The 25,821-nt window shown below is 36.3% G+C and overlaps 1 protein-coding gene across 10 annotated transcripts in view; it reads right to left on the reverse strand.

Annotated features, from left to right (window-relative positions):
* The window catches only part of DST (dystonin), a 496,835-nt gene continuing 471,244 nt past the window's right edge, over positions 231–25,821 (reverse strand). For 6 of the 10 annotated variants that reach the window (NM_001144769.5, NM_001374722.1, NM_001374734.1 and 3 more), the window contains 15 exons: positions 24,918–25,112; positions 24,285–24,413; positions 19,580–19,723; positions 18,384–18,572; positions 16,108–16,237; positions 14,294–14,457; positions 13,341–13,503; positions 12,363–12,517; positions 12,118–12,192; positions 11,217–11,234; positions 8,313–8,430; positions 5,800–5,999; positions 5,281–5,391; positions 2,366–2,489; positions 231–1,502 (listed from right to left, as the gene is read on the reverse strand). In NM_001144769.5, coding sequence (NP_001138241.1) covers positions 1,240–1,502; positions 2,366–2,489; positions 5,281–5,391; positions 5,800–5,999; positions 8,313–8,430; positions 11,217–11,234; positions 12,118–12,192; positions 12,363–12,517; positions 13,341–13,503; positions 14,294–14,457; positions 16,108–16,237; positions 18,384–18,572; positions 19,580–19,723; positions 24,285–24,413; positions 24,918–25,112 — 2,178 coding nt within the window. In that variant the 3' untranslated portion in view covers positions 231–1,239. Of the gene's footprint in view, positions 1,503–2,365; positions 2,490–5,280; positions 5,392–5,799; positions 6,000–6,919; positions 6,992–8,312; positions 8,431–11,216; positions 11,235–12,117; positions 12,193–12,362; positions 12,518–13,340; positions 13,504–14,293; positions 14,458–16,107; positions 16,238–18,383; positions 18,573–19,579; positions 19,724–24,284; positions 24,414–24,917; positions 25,113–25,821 lie in introns of all 10 variants that reach the window. The other 4 variants (NM_001374730.1, NM_001374729.1, NM_001374736.1 and 1 more) reach the window with 3 other exon arrangements.

Consider the following 25,821-nt stretch of genomic DNA (forward strand, 5'->3'; position numbering starts at 1 on the left):
GGGGAGGGCAGGAACCTTATAGTTTCATGTCACTTACAATGGCTGGTGCATGGCTAATACTTATTAGAAATATTTGTTGAAAGAGTGGTTAACATTATTATAACTCCCTGTTTTTGATGTCCCCCAAATTTACCCTATTTGTTTCTTAGTAAACATATATCATACATATAACCTTTATTTAAAACAAATAATAGAAGAAGTTCACTTTAAATAATCAGGTATTCCATATATTCAAGTGAATATGTTTTATTAAATGCATACTAATATCTTTCTATAGTATGTGAGTACACATAATAAATTAAAATGTATATATTTATTAAATATAGATAGATATAATACCAGAACATGATTATTTCAGATGAGAAATCAAAATAAACCCATTTTTAAGTATCTTTTGGTCACTCCAAATTGATATTGCTCATAAAAAAATACACTAGTTTTCCCTGGGGAAAAAAAATTAATTCCATAGCAATGCAGTTAAGGGACGTGTTTTATTTCATAGCTTTCTGCAAGCAAAATTGCTCTGATACAAAATGAGTTCAATGATACAGGTGCTACTGTCCACTCAAGCAAAAGAAAACCTCACATGTATATGAACGCACTTTATACTTATATTCTTACAGTATAATAGGTCTAATATCCAGGATGCCTCTGGCCTCATTGAAAGCAATGGCAGAGAAATGCTGCAAGGTACTTGAATATCATAGTACTGGCAAGTGCTTGAAGTAACTTCCTGTGAGTTCTCTGTCAGATACTGCAAAGACTGCGTGTGGGTGTGTTTGTCTTTTTGTCTTCCATCTTTTGGTTTACATTTAAATCATCTCAAAAAATATCCCCTGCATGTATCATTCAGCTTCTCAGAGTTTCCATAAAAACAGGAAAATGTCATGAGGTATCCCTAACGTCAGGGATTGATGTAGTGCTGTGGCTGTCAGAGAGGATGTAGACTTACCTGTAGGTACAGTAACTGAGTTTAGTGTGTGCCCGGCACGTTACAGTGCAGAAATGTTAGTTCATGTTAAACTTTTCCTCCTCACATATGATGTGACTTTAACCCCAGAATATCTGACAAAAAAAATTATACAGATAAAATAAAAAGACAAATACACAAATAAGGCCATCTGCAGAATTTTAAACTCGCCTCTTGCAATATTTCACAAGAATTTCTACACCATATTTTACATCGTTCAAACTTAAATAATAAATGCTCAAGGAAGGGCCTTGGTAGAACCAATTGCACTATCTCTTTGAGGACTTGTCCAATTTGCTGGCAGGTGATTTCCTCTGGGGCGTGGGGATTTTTGAAGGCTTCGCTGTGGATGGCCGAGAACCTGCTCGGGGTGTAGGTCTGTGTGTCTGGGGGACAGTTTCCACATCTGAGCACACGGACTGGATTTCTGAAATGTCAAAGTCTGATGCATCACTGCCTCGGCGGCTGCTGGCCCTGCTGCCAGCTTTGCTTCCAGCTCGACTTCCTGGTCGGCTGGGAGTCTTCTTGGAATCTGAGGAAAGAAGGTAGAGACAGCTCACCCTTATTATTGGGTCCATCTGCAACTAATTTTTGAAACCCGATGCCACCTTTAATCTTAACTTTTTTTCCTGGTGTGTAGTAGGCACTCAGAAAACAGTTGTGGATTCACAGCCTTTCTCTATTACACAAGGGTATGCAGGCTTACTCTAAGTAGACATAATATAGAAAAGGCTAGATTTCCAACTACAAGGTAAGTTTCGGCTTCCCCTACTTAAAACAGGATTCCATTTATTGCAAACAGACATAAGGAATATACCTATCCTTTAAGATTGTGCTTTCTAAAGTTTAAATTATGCCTCCAGGGATGCGTGTGATGCAAACATAGAACAAACAAGACAGGTTTAAGTCTTGCCCAAGAATAGGTAACTCCAAGAATGTAGGAATTCAACAGATGAGATTGGAAACTTTAAAGAGGCTTCTTGCTTGCTGAGCTCAGAACCCAGAGATTAGTAGGTTCATTATTTTGCGAAGCAATGTGAGCTACACTGGTGTGAGGCTCAGTGTGGCTGGGTTCTTCCAACCACCCCAAAACAGGGCCCTGTGCAATCGCTGAGCTGGCAGAAGAGCCAAAATCTTTCAGCTTGAAGGGGTAGAATACCACTGTATATTTTCCTCTGTTGTACAGTAATTCTTTCATCTTTCTTGGACACTTTTAGACACTTGCACCCATGACTCACTTTATCCCCAACTTTTGGAGGACTGGGGCTACATATCATTTTAAGACTACCTCAGGGTCAATTTGTAATTTCTTCCCCAATGAGGAGGAAAAGGGACTTTAATCCTCAGATGACCATGCTGCAAAAGCCATTGAAAAAAGAAAGGCACCACACTCACCAGCAAACTGTGTTCGGACTCTGGCAGCTGCAGTTGTTATCAAGCCACTGTCCTCCCCAGAGTGGAAGCCTTTCCCTGATAAATATCCTGGAAGTCGAAGCTTGCTTCCTTGTATTGGCGTTCCCTGTATTTAACCAGCAACAAGACATTTCAAAATATTGCTCCTGTACCATGATATTCCACTGACACCACTTCTTTACATATGGGTGGAAACTCTCTACTATTCCTCTTTAGGAGGTGAAGGGGGAGAAACTCTTCAATTAAATAAGGCATGGGGTTCTCACTTGATTTTCTCTTCTAATTTCTCATTCTCTCTCAGAATTCAAAGAAACTTTCTAAACAATATGAATTCATGGTTGAAGAGAAAACAAAATGGAGACCCCCAAAACTGAGCATAAAAGTGATGGCAAGGAGAAATAAATGGTGAGTATGTTAGTATCTTTCAGACTGTCAGTGAATATTCCAGAGTTAATGGTGTATTGCTAAAAAGATGGTGACTGCATGCATAGAGGGGGCATGGAGCAGAGAAAAACTGTGTCTGGATATTCTGCTGCCTCCATTGCTTTTATGGAGCCAGGCAGAGACAGACACAGAATGATAAGTAAATAAATAATGGATACAGACATCATTTAAATAAACTTAACTGCAAAAAGAAAAAAAGTGATTTTTAAATAACTTGCTACCACATCACTTCACTTCCTGGCTCTATCACTTCTACAGTCTTTACAGACAAAATACATAGGCAACATTTGGAGAAGTTTTTTTTTTACAATCTTTATATGAGTTTGTAGAGAATGTCTAAAACAATCATAAGTATGAGATTTTATTATACAATCATTGCACTTTTTCCAGATCACAACATTTAAAAAATTCTCCCAAAGTTAAAAAAAATAAACAAGTATCTTGAGGAACATAGGGAATGTAATATAATATTCCTCAATGAAAACACAGCCAGAGAACTATTTGGAGGAAATGCATTGAAACAAATTACATGTATATTTTTAAACAACTGATTTTCCCTTTATTAGCTTAAAATGTTATAATCATCTGATACATGAGTTACTCTTATTAATATTAATAGTCATTTATCTACATATGTGTATACTATACATACACTTAAGTGTAGTATCTATATGTGATTTGTATACATAGAATGTTCAAGTTTTCAAAATACTTTTACACACATAACCACAATTAATCCTCACACTCACCTAATCATAACCTTGAAAATGTGAAAAATCAAGAGCCTGAGGAGGCACATGATTTGCCCAAGATCTGACAATGCTGATCTAGCTAAATTCCTAACTTAAACAGAATCTCAACAACACGAGGGAGTGAGAAGCCACAAATTATGAAACATACCACTCAAGGTGGCAGAATTCATAACCGTGAAAGACCAAAATCATTCTTCTCAGAATGCCTTGATTGTTTTGATTTTATTTCACAGTCCCTCCCATAGAAACATGTTGTTTTTTGGTTTTTTGTTTCATCACGTTATTTGAAATGAAACACAGTTTTGCACTAGTCAAAATAACTACTTAGACTTTGAGAGAGTTTCCACTTAAAAAAAATTTTGAACACAGCATCATAGCCTTCAATATTTAAAGCAAATGTTAATATGTCCCTTGAGGTTGTTTGAACCTTTCTCTGTTTTTGCTATAATAGATCCATAATAATTGACAGACATCTCTAGAGGTAATATATAATACTAACATCACCCAGTTGGTGGGAAGGGGTGGAAATGAGGGGCTTGGGAAAATGAGGAGGAAGAAATGAGGAAACGCTAAAGAATGGGTTGTTTTTGTTCCAATTCTCCCACTTCTCAGCAATGAGATTGCCATGGAGTCATGAAGGTAACACATTTTTTCTCTGCCTGTCACTTATTATTAATGTGAGGATTAAGTAACAGACAAGAAAGTGTTTTGAAAAGCATAAGAGGGCTTTTAAAAGTTATTATATTACTTTTATTTGAGGATCCTGGCCTTTAAGTTACGTCCTTTATCATTAAGGTGAAATACCTTCTTCAATTTCAAGAAAAGGTATTTAGGGATTTTTCCCCACTAATTATTGGGATTCTAATAAAATATCTGATTATTTTGTACCTATGTCTGTTGTTTCACAGTGAAATTTCTTAAAAAGATATACAGCTGATTTTCAATTGAATGTAAATGACCTGATACATGAGTTCATCTTGGCAAATTTTATATCACCTAAATATCTTCTCCCCATATATCATGCCGTATTAAAAAGTTAGAGCATGCTTAAATTAGTTATTAAAATCTTTAAAAAAAACCCATACATTTATTACCTGTTGAAAATGACAAATAACTTTCTGCATACCTAAGCCTACCCCTCTGACCCCCCTGCACTGATACTGAGAGCTTATGTCACACCTGCCCAAAGTTTTGGGGCAGGTATAAATGTAACAGACATCCAGAAGGACCATGCCCACAGTGAACATTCAGTAAACATTCTTTTCAGTGATGCTCTTGCAAATCATACTGCCTTTTACTCCCATTTGAAGGGAATGTGTTGCACTTCTTGCCCATATTATATCTAGTATATTTAGTAGCTTTAAAAGAAATTTTACTTAAGTCTGGCTATAACCTACTCTATGTTACTCTCCCAAGAGATAACAGTGGAACTAAGTACGAATGAGAACAAAAAGGAGGTAGTCTGCAGGAGTGACTGGGTCAAATTGACACTGTTTAAAGAGCTGCAGACTATCTTTTCTGTTAACCCCTTACTCTCACATCTTCCAAGAACTGCTCGGTTGATACTTATCTTATAGAAGTGTATAAAAAGACATAGGGTTAGCAAAGTACATATATTTAGGGAGTGGTGCAACGATGTTAGTGAGTGATAGCTTCAGTTAAAGGAGAATGTTAAGACTGGACTCTGGGGCCTTACAATACCTCTGCAGATGGCACGGGAAAGTCTGAGCACTCTGCTGCTTTACAAGGAGTTGACATTTTGCTGTTTGTCAACCATGGTTTACCATAATTGCGTGTTAAAGGATGGAGAATCTGTATGGAACAATGGCAAATCAAATGAAAAGGATAGCAGATAAAAAAAACAAAGCCACAGAAAGAGATATTCATAGCAAAGAGTCACATTTCACAGTAAGAATAATAATTTAAAATAAGTGAAAAGATCCAATGGCAAATCATACACACCAAAAAAATGAATGAAGCTTTAAAAAGAAAAATCAATCTGGAAGATCACAAAGGCTTCCTAAATAGATCATCTCTATGTGGGCCACTAGGCAAAAGCATACATTCAAAAAAAAATTCCTGTATTTCCCACAGTATGAGAAGGTGCACAAATGGAGATAGCTGGTCCTACAAATTCTAGGGCCCTAAATAGAACATTCAAAAGTCTACTTGGGACATTGATTGCAAAGGTGGAGGAAAAGTCTTCATCCTGAGTCTTACCTTGGGTGTGGTGGTGGCAGGGACCTGTGGGGAGGCCGCCTGCGCAGCCTGACTGGACACAGAAGTGGATCTGTTGGGTGAAGCGCCTCGTGATGATGGCCGGGATCTTCGGCCTCGGGGTCGGAAAGCAGCCATACCCTGGCTGGCACCATCTGCTAAAATGAACTTCTCACGCAGTTCCATGTTTGTCCTTCCTTTGGCTGGGTTATACACACACAACAATGCACACAAAGAAAAGACGGAAAAGAAGAGGCGCTCAATCGTTAATGGGAAGAACGGCCACCTGGCACCAGAGATCACGTTGAGAATTTCAAGAACATCTTTTTGCCATGCCAACTCCAACTCAGCATAACAAAAAGTTAAATGCATTCCTTTACAATGCATTCCTTTTGGATACAGGTGAGTTCGGGGAGGAAAAAATAAAGTGTGCTTATTCTAACACTAGACACCAGCAAGAATAACCACTATTAAAGAAAGTGTCAGCATGAAAATGGAAAGCTCATGCTAAAATATCATTAATCCACCAGCTACAGATGCCCACATGGTTTCATTACCCTCTCATCACACTGAGAAGACAGACCAGTAAGGCAGGGACTGTGTCTTTTGCATGTACTATTGAGGTAAAGAGAATGCCAGTATTTCAACATGGGGATAAATTAAAGAATATAATTACACACAATGATTGATGGCTTGTTAGTCATGATGACAACATATAAACTTCTGGATTTTTCACTTAAATGAGGCAGCTAGTATTTTTATTTTATGCCTTGAAAAACTGTTTTACCAACATGCAATAACAAACACCAGACCCAAGGATCTGTGAGGTAGTCAGTGATGCAGCACTCATACAAACACATACGCACACGGAGAACACTCCACAAGAACCCGGTGAGCAACGTGTTAGCATGTGTTTGATCACTTATAACACCTGCATGTGTAACACAACCAAAGTCATCAAATTTTCAGAATTTAAATTTGGAAGCACCAGCTCAGCTGGATATGAGTTAAGCCATACGCGATGGATGAAGCATGTTATTTTAAAACAAATGACTGAAGCAAGAATGGAAAAGTAGGAAAGAGAAAAGGAAAGAGGGGAGAGGCAAAGAGAGAGGTTGCCAACCTATAGTAGGCTGAGTAGTAGTAATTGAAGAGTTTGATTCCGAACGTAACATTTTACTCCCATGATGATGAACTAGAAAAAATGACACAGGATACCAATCACATTAAAGAATACTGTTAGCAGAAGAAGAAACAAAGTACAGTAGTTGAATATGCAAAGGGTGCTCACATCTGGCCTTTAGCACACATTTTAGAAGAAAAGTTGCATCAGGAAAAGAAGCACTCAAGGGATTGGCTCAATAAGAAAAATGTATTTGGAAGACTGTGCCACAGCCATGCTAACCTTCCTAAGCAACCCAACAGAACACTATGTATTCTGATTTCTTCATAAATGGAGTTGCATTTTACCTTAGGCTACATTATTTTCAAAATATAAAACAAACAGGAGCTTTTGTTCTTGTTTTACTTCTCTCGCAGGTGTGTCTTTGGCCAGGAGAGAGCAGGGCTACTGTATAACATGTATAACAATCCATGGTGGCCTTGGTGGAGAAGCCTGATGACTGATATGTCTATGTGTACCAGATGGTGACACCATCACCAAAACCAAGAGGCCCTACAGGAGGAAACCTGGGATCCCACTTGGTAGCTGAAGGAGACAGCACTGACGTGAACATTTGTTGTTTGCTAAAAAGGATTACAGTGAGCTCACAGGTAAAAGAAAATTATAACAATTTTATTGTTTTTTTCTTGGGGGGGAAGAAAAATGGGCCTACTGAGTAATTGGTACCTAATTAGAAATTGCAATCAAATGACCACGTGTAACGTAAATTGGTTGAGAACTTAAAAATTGACAGAAGGATCTCAAAACAGAAAAATTAAAAGCTAACTTAGGACTTGGGCTGGAAGATATGTAGAGAGCTATAGTATTATATGTTTATATTTTTAATGTTCTAATCTGCAACTTCAAAGAGTCAAGTTAGCATTGGATTATTATTTAAAAATTTTTTAATTATGGCTTTCCTCACCTGCTCTTCATTTCATAAAAACTTTGACCTTTAAACTTTTATTATCCAGTATTTTCGGTCTTCATCACCTCAATTTTCTTTTCTCTTACTTTGCTATGTCATAACAGACAAAATCCTTTCCTTGGTTGGTATAATTGTTTGGAAAATCGTAGATGTAAAAGTCTCCTAAAGAAAATGGATTCTAGTATTTCCCGCCCACCATATTTATCCAGAAAAAGTAAAAAAAAAAAAAAAAAAGAAAGAAAAAAATGAGAAGAATATGGTTTACATGACTGCCACAGGTTCTTTGGGAACTTTAGGCTGACAGACCAATGTGAAACATTCACTATTGGAATAAATGACCAAAATTATGCCCAGTATGTTTTGGTGCTGGATATAATATAAAATTGAAATACTTTCATGATGTTATCATGATAAGCATCTCCTTACCCCTGCAAGGATCATTTTTCACTAAGAACTCATCAAGTGCCATCCATCCACCTCCAACACGAACCATCACAGTACTCCGCAGGATCCGGACCAGTCGCAGTTGCTGGGAGTCTCCAAACTGTTCAGTGAAGAAAGAAAGAACCTCTAGTTGTCAATAATAATTCTAAACTACAGGATGATGTGCAATTTGCAGTAGCTAAAGCAACCGACTTTAATTTCTTGCTTAGTTCATAGCGATTAGTAAAATCTCAGAAAAGGGGGTTTGTAATGATTTGTGTTAGACGGCTGCATGCTGATTTAGCCCAAAGGAAACAGTTTGAAAAAAAAAAGATTACAAAGGTTATCAAGTATACTACCAAAGCTTTGGTCTAAAAATTATTTTTCTTTCTTATGACAGAAACAATATTAGTAAGGCAGTAATTTTAAAATGTTTCTAGGAATTAAACATAGCCATGAAAGTAAGCACTGGCCCACTTGCCCAGGGCTTATCCAAAATAAAATGATTCTAAGAAAAATTTAATAAGCTTTGATTCTTCTTCATTAAACTCTCTCTTACAGTAAAACCGTTTTCCACTGAACTCTGTGAGAAATCTTTATAAACTCATTTTCTTTTCTGTAAGGGCAGTTTTCACTTAAAAAGAATAAAGTAAATGAGTATGACTCATATAAATTTCACAGTCAACTAAAATTTCTGCATCCCTAATGATCTGGTAAACCAATTTGTTAAAGGCTGGATTAATATGCCATTTTAGATTACTGTAATATTAGAATAGCCAATGACACATTATTAATGATACAGCTGCCAAATCTAAAAGGTTTCTCTCATAGTTGTCTGTACCATAACTGTTGATACTAACAGGCAATCATCTTTTTCTTGCCCTTTCAATAGATCTCCAATAATGTAGATATGCTACAAATTCTGCAAGTCCTGAATAAATTTCTAGATTCCAGGTTTCTGATCACAGGTTTATGTTTTGAAAGCCTGTGAGAAATGATTTTATACTTTAAATCATTTCTAATAGGTTCATGTCCAACTCATAAAAACTACCAGACTGAATTTCACGGTTGTCATCCCAGCAGACAAGAAAGCAAAATGAACAGTCAATTAAACATAAATGGCTTCTTTGTAAAGCAGGTAACATACAATTGTGACTTTATTTGGGCTCATGATGGATAAACAGAAAACTCTAGGTAGAAAAAAATCTGCTACTTTTCAGTGTTTTAATACTGAGTTTCAAGAAGAAAACCCAAAAACAATACCAACCAAATCCCTCAGGATCCTAAAACTCAGAAGGACCTAGAAAGCATGTAAAATGCACCAGCAGGAACTCATGTGTTTTTCCATCAAACTTTTAAAAACCACTATTTCTAAATCTTTTTTCCTTAAACATTGAGACTTAAACTTTCCTATAATTCTTCCTGAAATGTTAATTAAAATTTAAAAATAAAAGTGTAAATTTATTTTGTTAGAAAAAAATTGGTGCCGCTAATAAGCAAAGGGAAAGGAGGGGATTTAAAGAAAATTACCCTTAAGGAACCAGATAATGGGACTAGATGATTTTGGTTCAAGATTATACTCAAAACAAAAGTTATAAGGAAATAACTAAAAGTTCCTTATAGAGATGATATTTCAAGTGTAATGAATACAAATAATTTTCTGTTTTAATTAGGCATTCTCCAGACAACTAACATCATCTTCAGAATTTCTCTAAATATTCCCAGTAACCAAATCACAAGACAAGAGAAAATAGACTAATGTTGCTGACTGTGCTTTCAGTGAGTAAAACCTTTTGAGGTATTTCTCTCATTCTCTCTGCAAATAAAAGATGCTCTCCCATTTGCTGACTCCGAAAATAGCAAGAATGGAAAAGTAACATTTCAGTATTATAGTATAACTAATGGAAGTTTTAAAAATCTATTCCAAGTAACTATTTCTATTTTAAATAAATTATTTGCTTGCAATAAATAAAGGTAATAGATAATTTGAAGCTTGAGATGTAATATGGCTTTAAAATGGAGTGGCAGAGTCATATCTAATGTAATATGGTCAGATACTATAGATAGCATGGTTCTTTCCAAAGTAAAATAAAATAAAATAAAATAAAAGCTTCATGAACATGTTTAAATCAAAACAGAGTATCTCCTTAGTTTCAAAATTCTGATCATGATGTAGTGCCACTACACAGGTTATACTGACTTAAATGTCAACATAAACATTTTATATTGACTTAAGTGCCAATAATATAAATATTCGATCAAGATGGCATAAAATGTGACTTTAAGATTCTGCATATATTATAGCGATAACTTTCCTCAAAAGGAATATTACTTAAAGCCTACTGAGTTAACATTTCTACTCAGAGATGCCAAGCCCCAAAATTGGTGATTTTGAACAAATGGCAAATAGCTTCTTTGGAGAGAACTTGTTACTTGTGGCTGAGTGCCAAGGAGACCTCTTGGCTCTCTGTCTTCCTGTGTCACTGCCTGAGGCTGATCCTTCTCAGCTACTGTAGACCGTATGTCCTAAACAGTTAAACACCAATGAGCCTAACACAGAGATGTGTGGAGAATCAAATTTGTGTTCCAATGAGTACTAGCATAAAATATATGCTCATATTATAAAAAATGGGAATTAAAAATTGCATTCGTAACATTGTAGCAAGCCAAGCTACAATTCATTATCTGGTTTGCTTAAAAGTAATCTCCTCATCTGAGAGACACAAGGCAAAAAGGAATCCTGGATCAAGGACCCTTATAGCGTTTACAGAAACACCACGCCAACCAACAATGTAGTAGCTAGGGAGACAGCATGGGAAAGATTGGCCATGGCAAGCTTTAATGACTATGAATTAAAGTTAAAAAAAAATCATCAGGAACTTGAGAATACATTCCACTGGTTTATACCTGATTTCCCAGGAAGAACTGATAAAAATGAAAAATGGAAGAAAGACACAATTAGTTCAACAGGAAACTTTCTGTATGACTCTAGAACATACACACATACTCACACTCTGTGCTTCTGGATGTAGTATCTAGTTTAGAGATGTGCAGGCACCCAGTTGTCCCAATTTCAAACCAAATAATCAGACTATTTTCTGTACACATATTTTTGAAAATCTTAGGATTTCAAATTTAAGTTAAAATTTTGAATACATTGATGATTATTTTTTTAAGTATAAAAATAAAAATAATATTTCATTTAGAAGTAGCACACTGTATTGGGGAAACTCAGCACATTTCTTATCTAGCTACTACATATAAGAGATGTTCCAAAAGAGAAAAAAAAAAATAGAGAAAGAGTAATGAAGTCACACTGTTCTTCTGTTTTGAAGAGAGTGAACCGAGTTAATTGAGATTTTGAATAAAAGCAAAAATTACTGCACAAGTGGAGAAGACATTATCCTCTCTTTTCATATTTATTAAAATGAGTCCATATTTTTAACTTTGTGGTTCTGGATTAGAGTAGCTTTCTTGTTTGAAATCTGAAAACTTACCTCTAATCATAACAAAATATAAAATAATATGAAGCAACCTAAATATATGAGATTTGAGTATTTTCTTGTGAATTTTTCTTTAAAGGTAATGTGCATGATGTAGATGTCAAAGATATTTCCTAATATGCAAAATGCAGGCTGCCGTTATACAAATTAAAATGTTAAATGTAAGAGTTTCATATACCATTAAATTTTGACATGAGGTAAAAAAGTAAATAAATAAGACTCCTGGAAAACAATGGAGATCAAATTGTATACAGATTTCAATTTATGTCCTTTAAAGGAACTACAACATTACTTTGAAAACTTACCCTGTATTTATTATCACCAATCTGCTCAACTTGAAATCGCTTTGCACATTTACACTTAGCTACCTGCCTTGTCACCTGCCAAAAACAATGATGAAATATTTACTTTAATGTCAATATTACATAGTACAATCCTTAAAACTTTGACACAACAATTAGAGTGAAAATAAAATGGTTGTATGAATTGTGCATGATATCGTGGCAGAACATACTATCAGTGTTGTACGCAATGGGAAGATAATGAGTACCTCATCTTCGATTTTGTCGGCATCTGTGATAGGTTTATATGCATCTTTATTTGGGTGAAGGGCTGCTACAAATTCATAGTAGTCAATATATCCATCGCCATCTCTGTCAAAGATGTCTGCAACTGCGCTCATCTCCAAGCGACTGGTTGGAAACTCTAAAATTTTGAAAACAATGGTAAGTAGTGACTTGTTAGTTCTTTCTCAAGACATTCTCAATTGCACATTTCAATCTCAGTGTAGCTGGTTAAATCATCAGTGATCAAATATATTAAAATCCTTTTTTAAAAAACTGATTTACATCACAGCAAATGAAGAGTTATATATAATCTTAATTTATCTTTAATTACTATTTAGGTGAATCATATAAAATGCTGTTTTTTTAGGTTGAAAATGTTTAACACTGGCAATTTTATATGGGTCAATTGCTAGTCAAAGAATAAATTATATGAAATTTACCTTAAGAATGACATCTAGTAACATCTGTCAGGGAAATCACATACAAATGATTGGGCCATCAAACAAAAAGGTGATAAGTATCTTAAGAAGTTTTATAGAGTTCTAATTTCCTACTAATGACAAAGTTAGATCAGAATGTGAATTAGAATGAAAAAGGGACTTGAATTTATTGACTTCCTATTACACATATGCCAGGCAACACACACACACACACACACACACACACACACACACACACACAGAAAACACCTTAAGAATCATATATTATTAACTTTATTATTCTAACAAGTTCTCAGCCTCAGTGGAGGGAACAACATATCTGTGATTACACAGTTAGTGAGTGTTCCTGACTCCAGAGCCACAAATTTTACCAAAAAAACATTTTTTTAAGGGTCGTGACTTCCTAGGCAACTTATAAGACAATGCTTTATTGTAACACAAGTTTACCAGACCCACACTTTTAAAATGTGCTTATTTCCTTTAAAAATTGTATCAGTCATAGTCATCTGTCTTGGAACTTACTTGAGGAAAGAATTCCATCAATAAATTCCTGCCGCGTTATTTTCCCATCCTGGTCTTTATCAATTCTCCTGAAGAAGTCCATCACTCGAGATTTCTTGTGATTCATCCATCGCATGTATTTTTTGCGCCAGATATCAAAATCAAAGTTAGCAAATTCCCTCAGCTAAAAGGACAAAAAGTATTTTGATTGAGTTAATGCTGTACTAAAATTGTAGACTATACTATATGAATAACTTTTGAAATGATTCTCTAGGTAGTACACATATCCTTCCCATTTCAAAAAGAGGTATGATCTTGCAAAGGGGACTTAGAAACATTTTGCCTTTAAAATGTATTCCATTGCTGTCACTGATTTTTCTTTACAAATAAAATTCCTAAAAACTTAAGCTGTAAATTTCTGATTAATGCCAAAGTCATAAAGGTGGTCCGGCTCTAAGTACCACCACTAGTCATGCTCACTGGGATAGCAGGTCCAGATCAACAGCACTTACCTAACCCTTCAATCTCTCTCCCTCTGCACTATTAGCCACTCTCTTAACTCCCCAGGGCTTCTAAAAATTTCCCAATTGCAGAATCTAAAACTTGAAATCTTAGGTAATCAAATACACACAATCAAAAGATCTGAAATATAAAAGATTATATTTTCCAGGCAGCATCACCAGCAAACATTATGTCAAGTTAGATTTTATTCTTAAGGAATCAGCTTCTGATTGTTAAAACATAATCATTTTTTTTACTTCATTGATTCCCTAAATCCAAATCCCATATATCAATATTTCACAAAATCACACATACTTGTGGTATTTATTTTGGAAATTTAAAAATGTACTCAAATAGCAAGAGTTTGCTTATTATCAGAAAAGTTAAAAAATACCAAGATTTTGGCAATGGCAATGTGTTATGAGGAATGAGGGCAAATGACAATGTGGTGTTGAGGGTATGAATTTCCAAACCTCCTCTAGTCTGTCCAAGGCATCATTGAGTTTCCTCCTTCTTTCCAACGCCAGGAGCCAGACTTGCTGCCATTTGCTCACCAGTAAGTTTACCCTAGGATTTTTGGTTTCAATTTGTGTCTGTGACCCAGAGGGATACAAGCTTGATGCTGGAAAGCGTTTTCCTGTGAAGGTATAACTTCGGTTAGGATGGCAGTTTCCAGGGTGCTGAAATGTGTTAAGGCTTGACCTTTTTTGCTTCTAGCTAAGACTGCATCAACTTAATTACGTGTTTACGCAAGTAAAAGTATCCTAATTTAGATGATGTATAATGTCAAGGCCCAAATCTGTTTTCCTTATTAAGGATCACACACTGTTCATGCAATTTAAAGAAATATCTCTGGACAGGGGCATTTAAATACTGGAAACCTCTCTCAATGAATTATGCTTAAAACATCTTCCAGCTTAAAATTCATGCCATTTCAATGACAACGAAGCATGCTGTGATCCTCCACTTTGTTAAAGGAAATCTCCCAGGCCAGTGAGACTACCTTACAATGACTTACATCAAACCCAGCTGTCCTTCCTAGAGAATAAGGCAGAAAGGGAGAGCAGATGAGGGCAGCAGGCACTGGGCAGTCACAAGAGTCAAAGCAAGACACTTCACAAATGCCAATAAAATATGGCAGCATGTGTATGGGACCCCAGCCTTCGCCCACATCCATTTTCCACTGAGATTGCATGTTTCCTGTGCATAGTCTCAAACCCAAGTTTACTGCCTTACTAAACTTTCCTCCTGCTTTCTGGCTGTTTTCCACAAGTCTCAACAACTTCACAAAACAATGACCTTAACAAATTTTTCTCATCTTACTAAATGGCTAAATACGGCCTAGAAACATTACTAGCCTAGGGTCATATAGAATGTTAAGTGTCCCAGCTAGGATTTATAGTACAACAAATACTTGAGCATTTAACTATATGCCTGGAAGTAGGTTAAGCATTTTGTATGTACTAGCTCATTTAATTCTCACTGCAGTCCAATGAAGTTATAATTATACCCTTCTACAGATGAGGAAACTGAGGTTCAGAATGAGTTTAAGTAACTTGTCCAGGGTTATGTTTCTCAGTTTGGTAAGTGTTGGAGACAGCCAAGGAGTCTGGCTATAGGGCTCTTAATAGTTTACCTTGTCTCCTTGTGTAGTAAGTAATTACAATAGCTCCGACATCATTTCTTTTTAATTAAAAAATTAAGTAATACGCAAAATGCATTTCTATTCAGAAACGCATAAAACATATAACACAAATTGTGTTTCTTTTTAAATCTTCTCCAAGCTAACTATGATTGTTTTCAATGTCATGTCATGTTGTTAAAGTAGCTCAAGAAGTATATAGAGCCTGAAGTCACATGAACATGGGCAAAAGCTATGAGATTGCTGGTCACCAATGAACAACTAAGTCATGAAGATTATCCACGTCATGGTCATTTTTGTTATGTTCAGCTTTAATGTTATATATATAATGGAAGACAAATGAGACAATGCAAAGGGTGTGATGATTTCCATTCTTACTGTAAATTTTTTCAATTTTCTTCTAGCTAATATGAAAGATACACTTCAAGACAATAAAGTTACGTATAGAAACCTGGGTATATTTTTTCTTTATTTTTAAATAAGTTTCTACAATACTTGAGCACACGTATTCCTTCTAGAAAGTATTTCATGATATCAAGTGCTCATGTAAAATCACCAATTGCCCCCAAATTTCAAATAATTCAAAATAAAAGAAAATTAGCTCCCTTATTTATTGACATTTTAAAGAAATTGATCACTGCTTACTTCCTGCTCGTCCCTTATCCAAGACTGGAATATGGGATTGTAATGAGGAAGGATCAGCAGCTCTCCTCTTATAGGTCTTCGTTACTTTATCAACATCAGGCTGTTTTCTGGTCATTTCCTCCATGAAGGTCTGAAATGAAAGAAATGATGTCAATCAAATAAGAGTTACTACAGAAAACCGTCTTTAGAAATGAACTAAAAGCAGAAGGATAAAAGAACCATGTTATTATTTCTGAAGAAGAATAAATCATATGCTTTATCTTTAGGGTAAAAAAAATCTAAACCATCATACTGCAGGCATTTACTAATTTCTAAAGAATATAAAATGTGGCCAGGTGCAGTGGCTCATGCCTGTAATCCCAGCACTTTGGGAGGCCAAGGCAGGTGGATCACCTGAGGTCAGGAGTTTGAGACCAGCCTGACCAATATGGTGAAACCCCATTTCTACTAAAATTACAAAAATTAACCAGGCATGGTGGTGCACGCCTGTAGTCCCAGCTACTTGGGAGGCTGAGGCAGGAGAATCGCTTGAACCTGGGAGGCAGAGGTTGCAGTGAGCCGAGATTGTGCCACTGCACTCCAGCCTAGGCAACAGAGTGAGACTCTGCTCCGTCTCAAAAATAAATAAATAAATAAATAAAATGTTAATGCTTGTAAAGAGAGTAAATTGAAAATAAAAATAATTTGTTTTAGTGGAATAACCTGCATGGACACATGGGAGAAGTCATGTGAATAAAATAACCTGTCTGTGCATCAACCAAACTCAAGTTTCCAAGCTCCTCAGAAGAATCTTTAGTAAGCATCTGTCTACAAACAAACTAGGTAGCTGGGATGTTTCCAAGAACTTTTCTGTGGCACATTTCACCTACATATTTGAAATATTTAAGATGGCTTTGATTAGGCAACATAGTGAAACCCTGTCTCTACAAAAAATTCAAAAATTAGGCCAGGTGGCATGTGCCTGTAGTCCCAGCTACACAGGAGGCTGAGGTGGGAGGATCACTTGAGCCTAGGAGCTTGAGGCTGCAGTGAGCCACGACTGTGCCATTGCATTCCAGCCTGGGCAACAGAGTGAGACCCTGCCTCTCAAAAAAAAAAAAAAAAAAAAAAAAAAGATGGCTCTTTGATATATTATGACATAATACATCCACATTTAATGTGGACATATCAAAATATTCATAAATAGGCTATTCCAAGGGTGGTAAAAACTATTTGGGTTAAAGTATACTACCATTGTATTTAAAAGGTTTAACTATCTTGCCACTGCTTATCTCATCTCCTTGGGCTTATTATTATTATTTACTAGGTATCCCTCTATTTGGAATATGCAGCAAAGGCTGTGGAAAGGCAGAGACTGTGAAAAGTGATGGGGAAAAGGAGACCCAGACAAAAGGGAAAAGTGAAGTAACACCTTTCTGGAATATTTGTCACACTGAAGAACTCTAATACCTCTGATCACAGGAAACATGACCTGGTACACTTAGAGCCATTATAGACATTGATGTCTTATTAGGCTTTTAAAACACACACACACACACACACACACACACACACACACACACAAAATAATGGCAACATTAATTGCTTAACCAACTGAGCTAACACTTAATATTTCTCTTTGTAAATGCATATTAAACAAACTGTGAGCAATCAAGTAAATCAAAGTGAGTGTGACACCCATCATTTGAGTTTAAAACAAGAAGGATATATAGGAAGGCTGCTTTTCCTAAGAAAGACAACACGTTCCCTTTTTCATATGATGTATTTCAAGTGATGACAGTCATCTTCACAGACATAAAAATGCAGAGCAATCAAACCTTGTTTGATTAATGCAATGTGAACATAATGCATCCACATTTAATGTGGATACCTTAATGTGGGTACCTTGTACCCACTGAAGCCAGGGAGGTGGAGGTGGGTGAGATCACCAAAAGAGGGAACAGAGTGAGAGAAATAGAGAGCTGAGGATAACACCTAAGGAGTAAGGAGAGCTGACATTTAGAAGGCAAAAGGGAGGGCAGGAGTGAACGTGAGACAATACCACGAGTGTAACCCCACAGAGGACAAAGAAGGAAAGTTTTGCAAAGGTCACAGAGGGTTCCTGTAAAGAGAGGTTTTAGGGCAGTTGCAGAGTTGGAAACACAGTTGTAAGGAGCTGAGGAGTCTGAAGAAGTGAAAATAACGAGAACAAAGCAATGTTTTGAGAAGTACAGCAGTGAAAGAAAGAAAATATCTGAGATAATGGTTAACAGGAGTTAGGATTATATTTATTTTACCTGGTGTTCTGCAATGAGTGCTTTCACCTCTTCGATCTCCTGGGGGATGACTTCTTTATCCTTATCAGTAAGTGTAGTTTCAGCCCATTGCAACCAAGCCAGCAAAGCTTCCAACAATTCCTGTTTGGCAATAAGCCCAGCCAGAGCACTTGCTAATCTCTGCTGATGTTGCTTTGCCCAGGCCAGCACCTGTCAGAGAAACAGAAATTTCTCTGAATTTCCTCCAACTTAGTAAAATAATTGCAGTGATGTAAAATAAATAAATTTTAAATGAAAATTAGGATCATCCTGAGCTAGACCCATAATGCTTCTGGTCTTTTTAGATTCCATTAGTGGCATCAAGATCTGGCTTGAGGAGGACATGAGAGCCCACGATGATGTTCATCATCTTCAGAATTTAAAGATGCATGTCAATCACTCAGGCTTCCTTTTGCTTTCTAATTTGAGTTCAAATATGCATTCTCTGAAGGATCAGGTAAGCTTACTCCATGTGGCACAGAGTAGAAATGTAAAAAGCTAAGATACTGGCAGGGCGTGGTGGCTCACGCCTGTAATCCCAGCACTTTGGGAGGCCGAGGTGGGCGGATCACGAGGTCAGTTCAAGATCAGCCTGACCAACCTGGTGAAACCATCTCTACTAAAAATACAAAAAAATTAGCTGGGCATGGTGGCACGCGCCTGTAATCCCAGCTACTCGGGAGGCTGAGGCAGAGGAACTGCTTGAACCTAGGAGGCAGAGGTTGCAGTGAGCCGAGATCCAGCTACTGCACTCCAGCCTGGGCAATAAATCGAGACTCCGTCAAAAGAAAGAAAAAAAAAAGCTAAGATATTAAATACAGAATTAATTCACTTTATGTATACCAATTCACTCCACCAGTATATACTGCTCCGAAACACCATCCAACTGCTGGATTATTCAACAGAAACAATGTGGAAGGAGGCCAAAATGTTATACAGTGTACTAAATATTTGCCTTCTAATTTTCCAGGGACATAGCTGCAAAATTTCTTTGAGCTTTTAAAGAAAAGTGAATTGCAGAGATTGTAATGCATACAAGAAGCGTATTTAAAAGAACGTTTTCTATGTAGAGGTCTCATTTTCCCATGGCCATAAGTGCATCTTAATTCCTGAAATTTCCCACACCCCTCAACTCTCAAAGCTATTGCTACTCTGAAGATTATCTGAGACACACTGACCTCCTCAAACCTCGCCCGGATGATTGTTATCCAGTGCTTAATGGTAGTGATGGAGTCGGGGTGGCAGATAGCCAAAACGGTGTCGCCCATAGTGGTGGCTTTATTTAGTTCAGCTCTCTTTTCTTCCAGTTTCTTCATGAATTCCTACAGCAGAAACAAAGACTTCAATTAACTGTTGGCATTGGCTGAAAACAAAACTCTGGTGGCATTTGTTTGACTGCCAGAATTAAACAAATAAACAAAAACTTCAATTGGTTTATTCACAGTGAAAATCATCTACTAATTGGGGAGGAAAAGGGGACAAAATAGAAAACAAAGTACTTTCTAACATGTACTTCAAAATACAAGTACAGTCATCCCTTGGAATCCAAGGGGAGTTGGTTCCAGGATACCGTGCATAATAAAATCCAATGATGCTCAAGTCCCTGATATAAAATGATGTAGTATTTGCATATGACCTAAGTACATCCTCCCCATATGCTTCATATCATCTCTAGATTACTAATAATACCTAATACAATGTAAATTGTTGTAAATAGTTGTTATACTGTATTGTTTAGGTAATAATGACAAGGAAAAAAGTATGTATATCTTCAGTACAGATGCAACCATCCATTTTATTTTTGAATATTTTTAACCATTTTATTTTTGAATATCTGGATACAGAGGGCCAACTTTATAGGATATTTCATGCTTCAAAAACTGTATTATACAAAAAAATAACTCTCCCAAATTTAGATATAATTATGTTATTAATGGAGAATAGCATTGGGAGAGACAGTATTGCTAGAGATAGAAACAATACTGATTGACCAAAAATAAGTTCTAACAAATAAGGTAAGGAGGTTAATATTTAAAATAGCATTAACTATGCCAGGAAATATGGCAGCATGAATAAAAAAGTACAAAGTAGAGAGAAGCCTGGGTAAGGAAAGATAAATGTTTGGGGGTATGGGAGAGAGGGCCCAAAGTGTCTATGCAGTAAAAAGTGAAGGGGAGGTTGGAAGAGTGAGCCTGACAGCAGGTCAGCCCATGTGAGAACTGTCCCTTTAAAATGCCAGTAAGAGCCACTCTCCTCTGTTCTGGCAGTTCTAGCCAGTCTCTGCCAGCAAGCGGAATGAACAAAGCCTTGACATCCTCAAGGATGATCTTTCAAATAAATGTTTTACAAATGTCTCACATACTTAATTGTACTTTCTACCATCAGAACTATATCCATAGATAAGACAGATCATAGAACTCTGAAAATGTGATTACAAAATGAGAATCTTTGCCCTTAAAAATGTGACACGCTTCCAAAATCTCATATAGAATGTTAGAGATCTGCAAACACCCCAGTCTCTCTGGACCCCTGCACCAAGAGCGATTACTTGATTACACAATGAGTGCCAGAGGCCGCAGAGATCGATGATGCCCATGCTACTCACACTATGTGAACAGGGGTGTTCACTTTGAAATATAGGTGTTTTACTATACAAGAAAACCTAAAAAAACTCTTCTGGACATCGGCCTAGGCAAAGAATTTATGACAAAGATCCCAAAAGCAAATGTGACAAAAACAAATATAGACAAATGGGACTTAATTAAATAAAAAAGCTTCTGCACAACAAAAGATAGAATCAACAGAGTAAACAGTTAACCTACAGAATGGGAGAAAATATTTGCAAATCATGCCTCTGAAAAAAGACTAATATCCAGAATCTGCAAGGAACTCAAACAACTCAACAAGAAAACAACAAACAACTCCATTGAAAACTGGGAAAAACACATGAACAGACATTTCTCAAAAGAAGAAATACAAGCATACAAGCAGCCAACAAACACATGAAAAATGCTCAACATCACTAATTATCAGAGATACACAAATTAAAGCCACCCTGAGATATCATATTACACAAGTCAGGATGACTATTACTAAAAAGTGAAAAAACAACAAATGATGTGGATGCTGAGAAAAGGGCGTGCTTATACACTGTTGGTGGGAATATAAATTAGTTCGATGCCTATGAAAAACAGTATGAAAATATTTCAAAAAACTAAAATTAGAACTACCATTTGACCCAGCAATTCCACTACTCGGTATCTACCCAAAGGAAAAGAAATCATTATATCAAAAAGACAACAGCACTCATATGTTCATTCCAGCACTATTCACAATACCAAAGTCATAGAACCAATATAAGTGTCCATCAACAGTTGATTGGATTAAAAAAAAATGTGGTACATATATACCATGGAATACTATGCAGCCATAAAAAAGAATGAAATCATGTACTTTGCAGCAACATGCATAGAGCTGGAAGGCATTACCCTAAGTGAAGTAACTCAAACAGAAAATCAAATATCACACGTTCTCATGTATAAATGGGAGCCAAACAATGGGCGCACATGGACATAAAGATGGAAATAATAGACACTGAAGACTCCAAAAAGCACGGAGGATCACAGGGGCCTGAGAGTTGAAACATTACCTATTGGGTACCGTGTTTAACATTTGGATGACTGGTATAAAACAAGTCCAGTCCCTACTATTACTCAATATACTCATATAGCAAACGTGTACATGTACTCTCTGAATTTAAATTTATATGATATGTTTATATGTTTTATTCTAATTTAAGTGGCCTTTTGTCTTTAACCTCTGTGAAGCAGCTCTGTGACATACCTCCTACTCTGGCATTTTGCTATGTTAGACTGTTCGGTCCACAAGATTAAAAGACTGTGTTTTATTCATTTTTGTGTTCCCGGTAGTTGGTTCAAAAGAGTTGTGATTTACTGAATAAATGCTTTTTAGACCTTTTATTTACAAGTTTACTATAATGGAGTCAACGTTCAATTGACAGCACACTCTGATAACACCTACTTTTTAAATATCATAACTTAAATTATCATTTTCCCAATACAGGATCCTCCTAAATGAAAAAAATTTAAAACTCCAACATTATAAGGAAGAGAAAAAAATAGGTTAATCTAACATCTGTGTTTCCCCTGGAGAACAGCTGATACAAATAATGTACTTTCAATCACTTCTACACCTAGAGGAGCCAAGGTTATACCTAGAATTTGGTGGACTGGACTGTCAACATTCCACTGAATTCTATGCCCTTCCAACCTAGTCTGAACCTTACCTTACTGGTTTGTTCTCATGTGGGAAAGCTTGCCATTTTTAGAAACTGGATATGCTAAGAAGTCTCCAGTTCTGGTGTTAAGAAATTAAATATTCTGTTTTTCTTTGAATGGTGAATGGTGAATGTATGAAGGGAAGCAGAGGAGATGGAAAAGAATGAATAGTGTTACTGCAAAATATTATTAAGAAATGTTTTATAAAATTACAGGTAATTTTATGCTATTTAAAAATAATTTGTTGTAAAAACCACTACCCCTGCTCTGGATACGTGCCTTCTGGAGGTTTCCTGGTCCTGGTGTGAGAGTGGTGATACCACAAATAGGCTCCTTTCTGTAGGGTGTTAGATATGCACAATGGGCTTTAAGTGGTGTCCAGCAAATATTTATTGCTACTCTGAGACCCAAACCTAAGTATGTTAATGGAACTCAATGCTGGCTGATGGTAAGCCCACAGTAATATAATATAAACTACATTTTCAAAATATTGAACTGACTCAAAAATTTATAATACATTTGATGTAACTGTCTTCTTCTTATATTCTAGCTTCAAATTTAAACGGTGTATATAATATATAGCATTTCATTCTTCCAGAAAATGCTATGCAAGCTTGTACCACTTTTTAAATGACATGGCAATATTTCATCGCTATAGATTCAGCAACCCATCTTTGATAGAGGGTGTTAATTAACATAACAAGTCTCCACACATGATGTAATCCATGCTACACTAGAATTAATGATGTATTTCCAGCCTGACTTCAAAAGACAAAATTATTTACTGGTGTTTAAAAGATCCTTTAAAGTTAATAGGAAATGCTGACATCAACACTACATTGAGCGTTACCATTTCAAATTCTTGACTTTTTGAGTCAAAGGTTAAAAAACATTTGTTAAGAGATATTTGGATTACTCTCTGAAGGGTTTTGGCAAGTTTCATGCATTGCCGCAGGAAAGATCTTGATTTGAAAACTCAATAGCCAGATTTAGACTTGGTTAGTTATTCAATAGAATATTGGCTTATGAAATTCATTTTTAAAGTTTTTAATGTATACTATAGGTTTCTTCTAAAAAGGATTTAAAAGGCTCTTGATTAAAAACAGAAGCAGCAGAGGCTTAAAAATAGATTCAAAGATGAGTTATTAAATTACCTGTGTGTCTTGTTTACAAAGGGCAAAATTACTAATTTACAATCCTACGGGTATAATTTTATAAATGCCAAACTGCTCGTTAAAGAGGTTTTATTTTTGAAATCCACATGATAACTGCAACAATCTTGACCAATTTTGGTCAAAAGCCAAAAAGCCTAGATAAATCAATATGCTTCCTTGAGATAGGAAACAGAGTAACTACCTTCCCTGAAAAGGAAACATCAAAAGACAGGTACACATACATGTGTGTGGGTGCATGGGGACATACATATGTAAGCAATGTGGACAGAAGTACACTCTCAAATGTATCAGGTGTTTAAGTATTTCTCAGGAAGGAAAATATTCATGCAGTTGATATTTGTAATCCCGAGTCTATTTTCCCTGCTTTGATTTTCTAATTTAGCTTTACATAGCATTTATATATTACTCACTTTATGCTGATCAATGAGAGTCCGGAGAGCATCCTCATCATCTGGGAGGACACCATGGAAACGCAGGGTTTGCTCCGCCTCAGCCAGCCACTCCAAGAGGGCATGTACCACCGAGTGGAATTCCTCTGCCTAAGAGTTCACACACACACACACCCCAAACAAAATTCCCAAATATGCCTGTTAGCACAATTTACAAAACTGTATAGTGGATTCATCCCTTCAATGAAAAAAAAAAAGTTTTAAATTTAATTGCTTCATTACTCCCATTAAGAAGATAGAGATACACATATTTTACAAGAAAACACTTAATATATTAAAAAAAAAGCCTATATGAAGAAAAATTTACCACTTTAACAACTTGATTTTAGATGAATGGCAGTCCATCATACTTCCAAGCTGAGACATTACTCACGCAGCACTTGTATGTGAAGATTAGAATGCCTCCCTCTAGCAGTAATTTAAATTCATGAGGGAGGGTGGGAGAAGGATCAAGGCAATGTTGCTATTAGAATTTCCTTCTTCAGACTGTCCTGATTGAGACACGAGGGCCTCACAATTTTTTACTAGAATAGTTCTTGTTGAGGTTTCAATACTTTTCCCATTACACCCAGCTCTCATTTACATGGTTTTTACCTGACGCAGGGCTGCTTCTAACCGTGTTTGCTTTGATATAGAAAGTGCACACACGGTCTCCCAGCGTGTGCTTAATTCCTGCATCTGGACCTTGACCCAGGAGGAGTCATCCCGACTGCCTTCTATGAGTTCTCGGGCTGAGCGCTTCAGGGCCTGCACACTGCTGGTCCTCTTCCCCAACTCTTTTTGGAAGGCCTAAGAAGACCATATTTTGAAAAATTAATTTTAATTACAAAACCAAAACAGCAACACATACTGTTTGAGATATATATGTGCACATAACATCATGTAAAGATATCTAAGACCTACAGTTTAATAACCATATTTCTGGCAGCATCTTCAGAAGATAAATGACACACTGCTCCTATTTGAGCACCATCAAGAAGAGTCTTGTATAAATTTGTTCAGTCCTGTCACATTCTCATGAGAAAACAAGATAAGATTATCTTATTTTAAAATGACATATTGGATTTAAATAATGGCAGCCAGCCTTCATTATTTCAATTTCATAAAACAATGCAACAAATTCCTTTTCTTAATGATTCTTTAATATGGTGTCCCAATTTCTCTCAAATCACTAGTGTGAATGTCAAGTGGATGCTGGCTTTGGCACTACTCTAAGAGATGTATCTAAGAACCTAACAGAGGACTAAGCAATCTTGATGTGTGTACCACGGATGTCTTAGAGATAATGGCAGGGAATTCCATAGGAAGTTGGCAGATGGTCTTTTATTCCTATAACACTCCTTGGTCTTTCATAATATCTTAGGTACTAACTCATAATGTCAAATTTTAGAGGCTTAAATCCTTGTCTTTCACCTTAGAGGAAAAGCTTCTGGGTTTGCTTTTTTTTTTTTTTTTTTTTTTTTTTTTTTCCTGCCTAATTTTGACAAACTGATGTGCC

The sequence above is a fragment of the Homo sapiens genome, chromosome 6 (genome assembly GCF_000001405.40).
Source record: "Homo sapiens chromosome 6, GRCh38.p14 Primary Assembly".
NCBI lineage: Eukaryota > Metazoa > Chordata > Mammalia > Primates > Hominidae > Homo > Homo sapiens.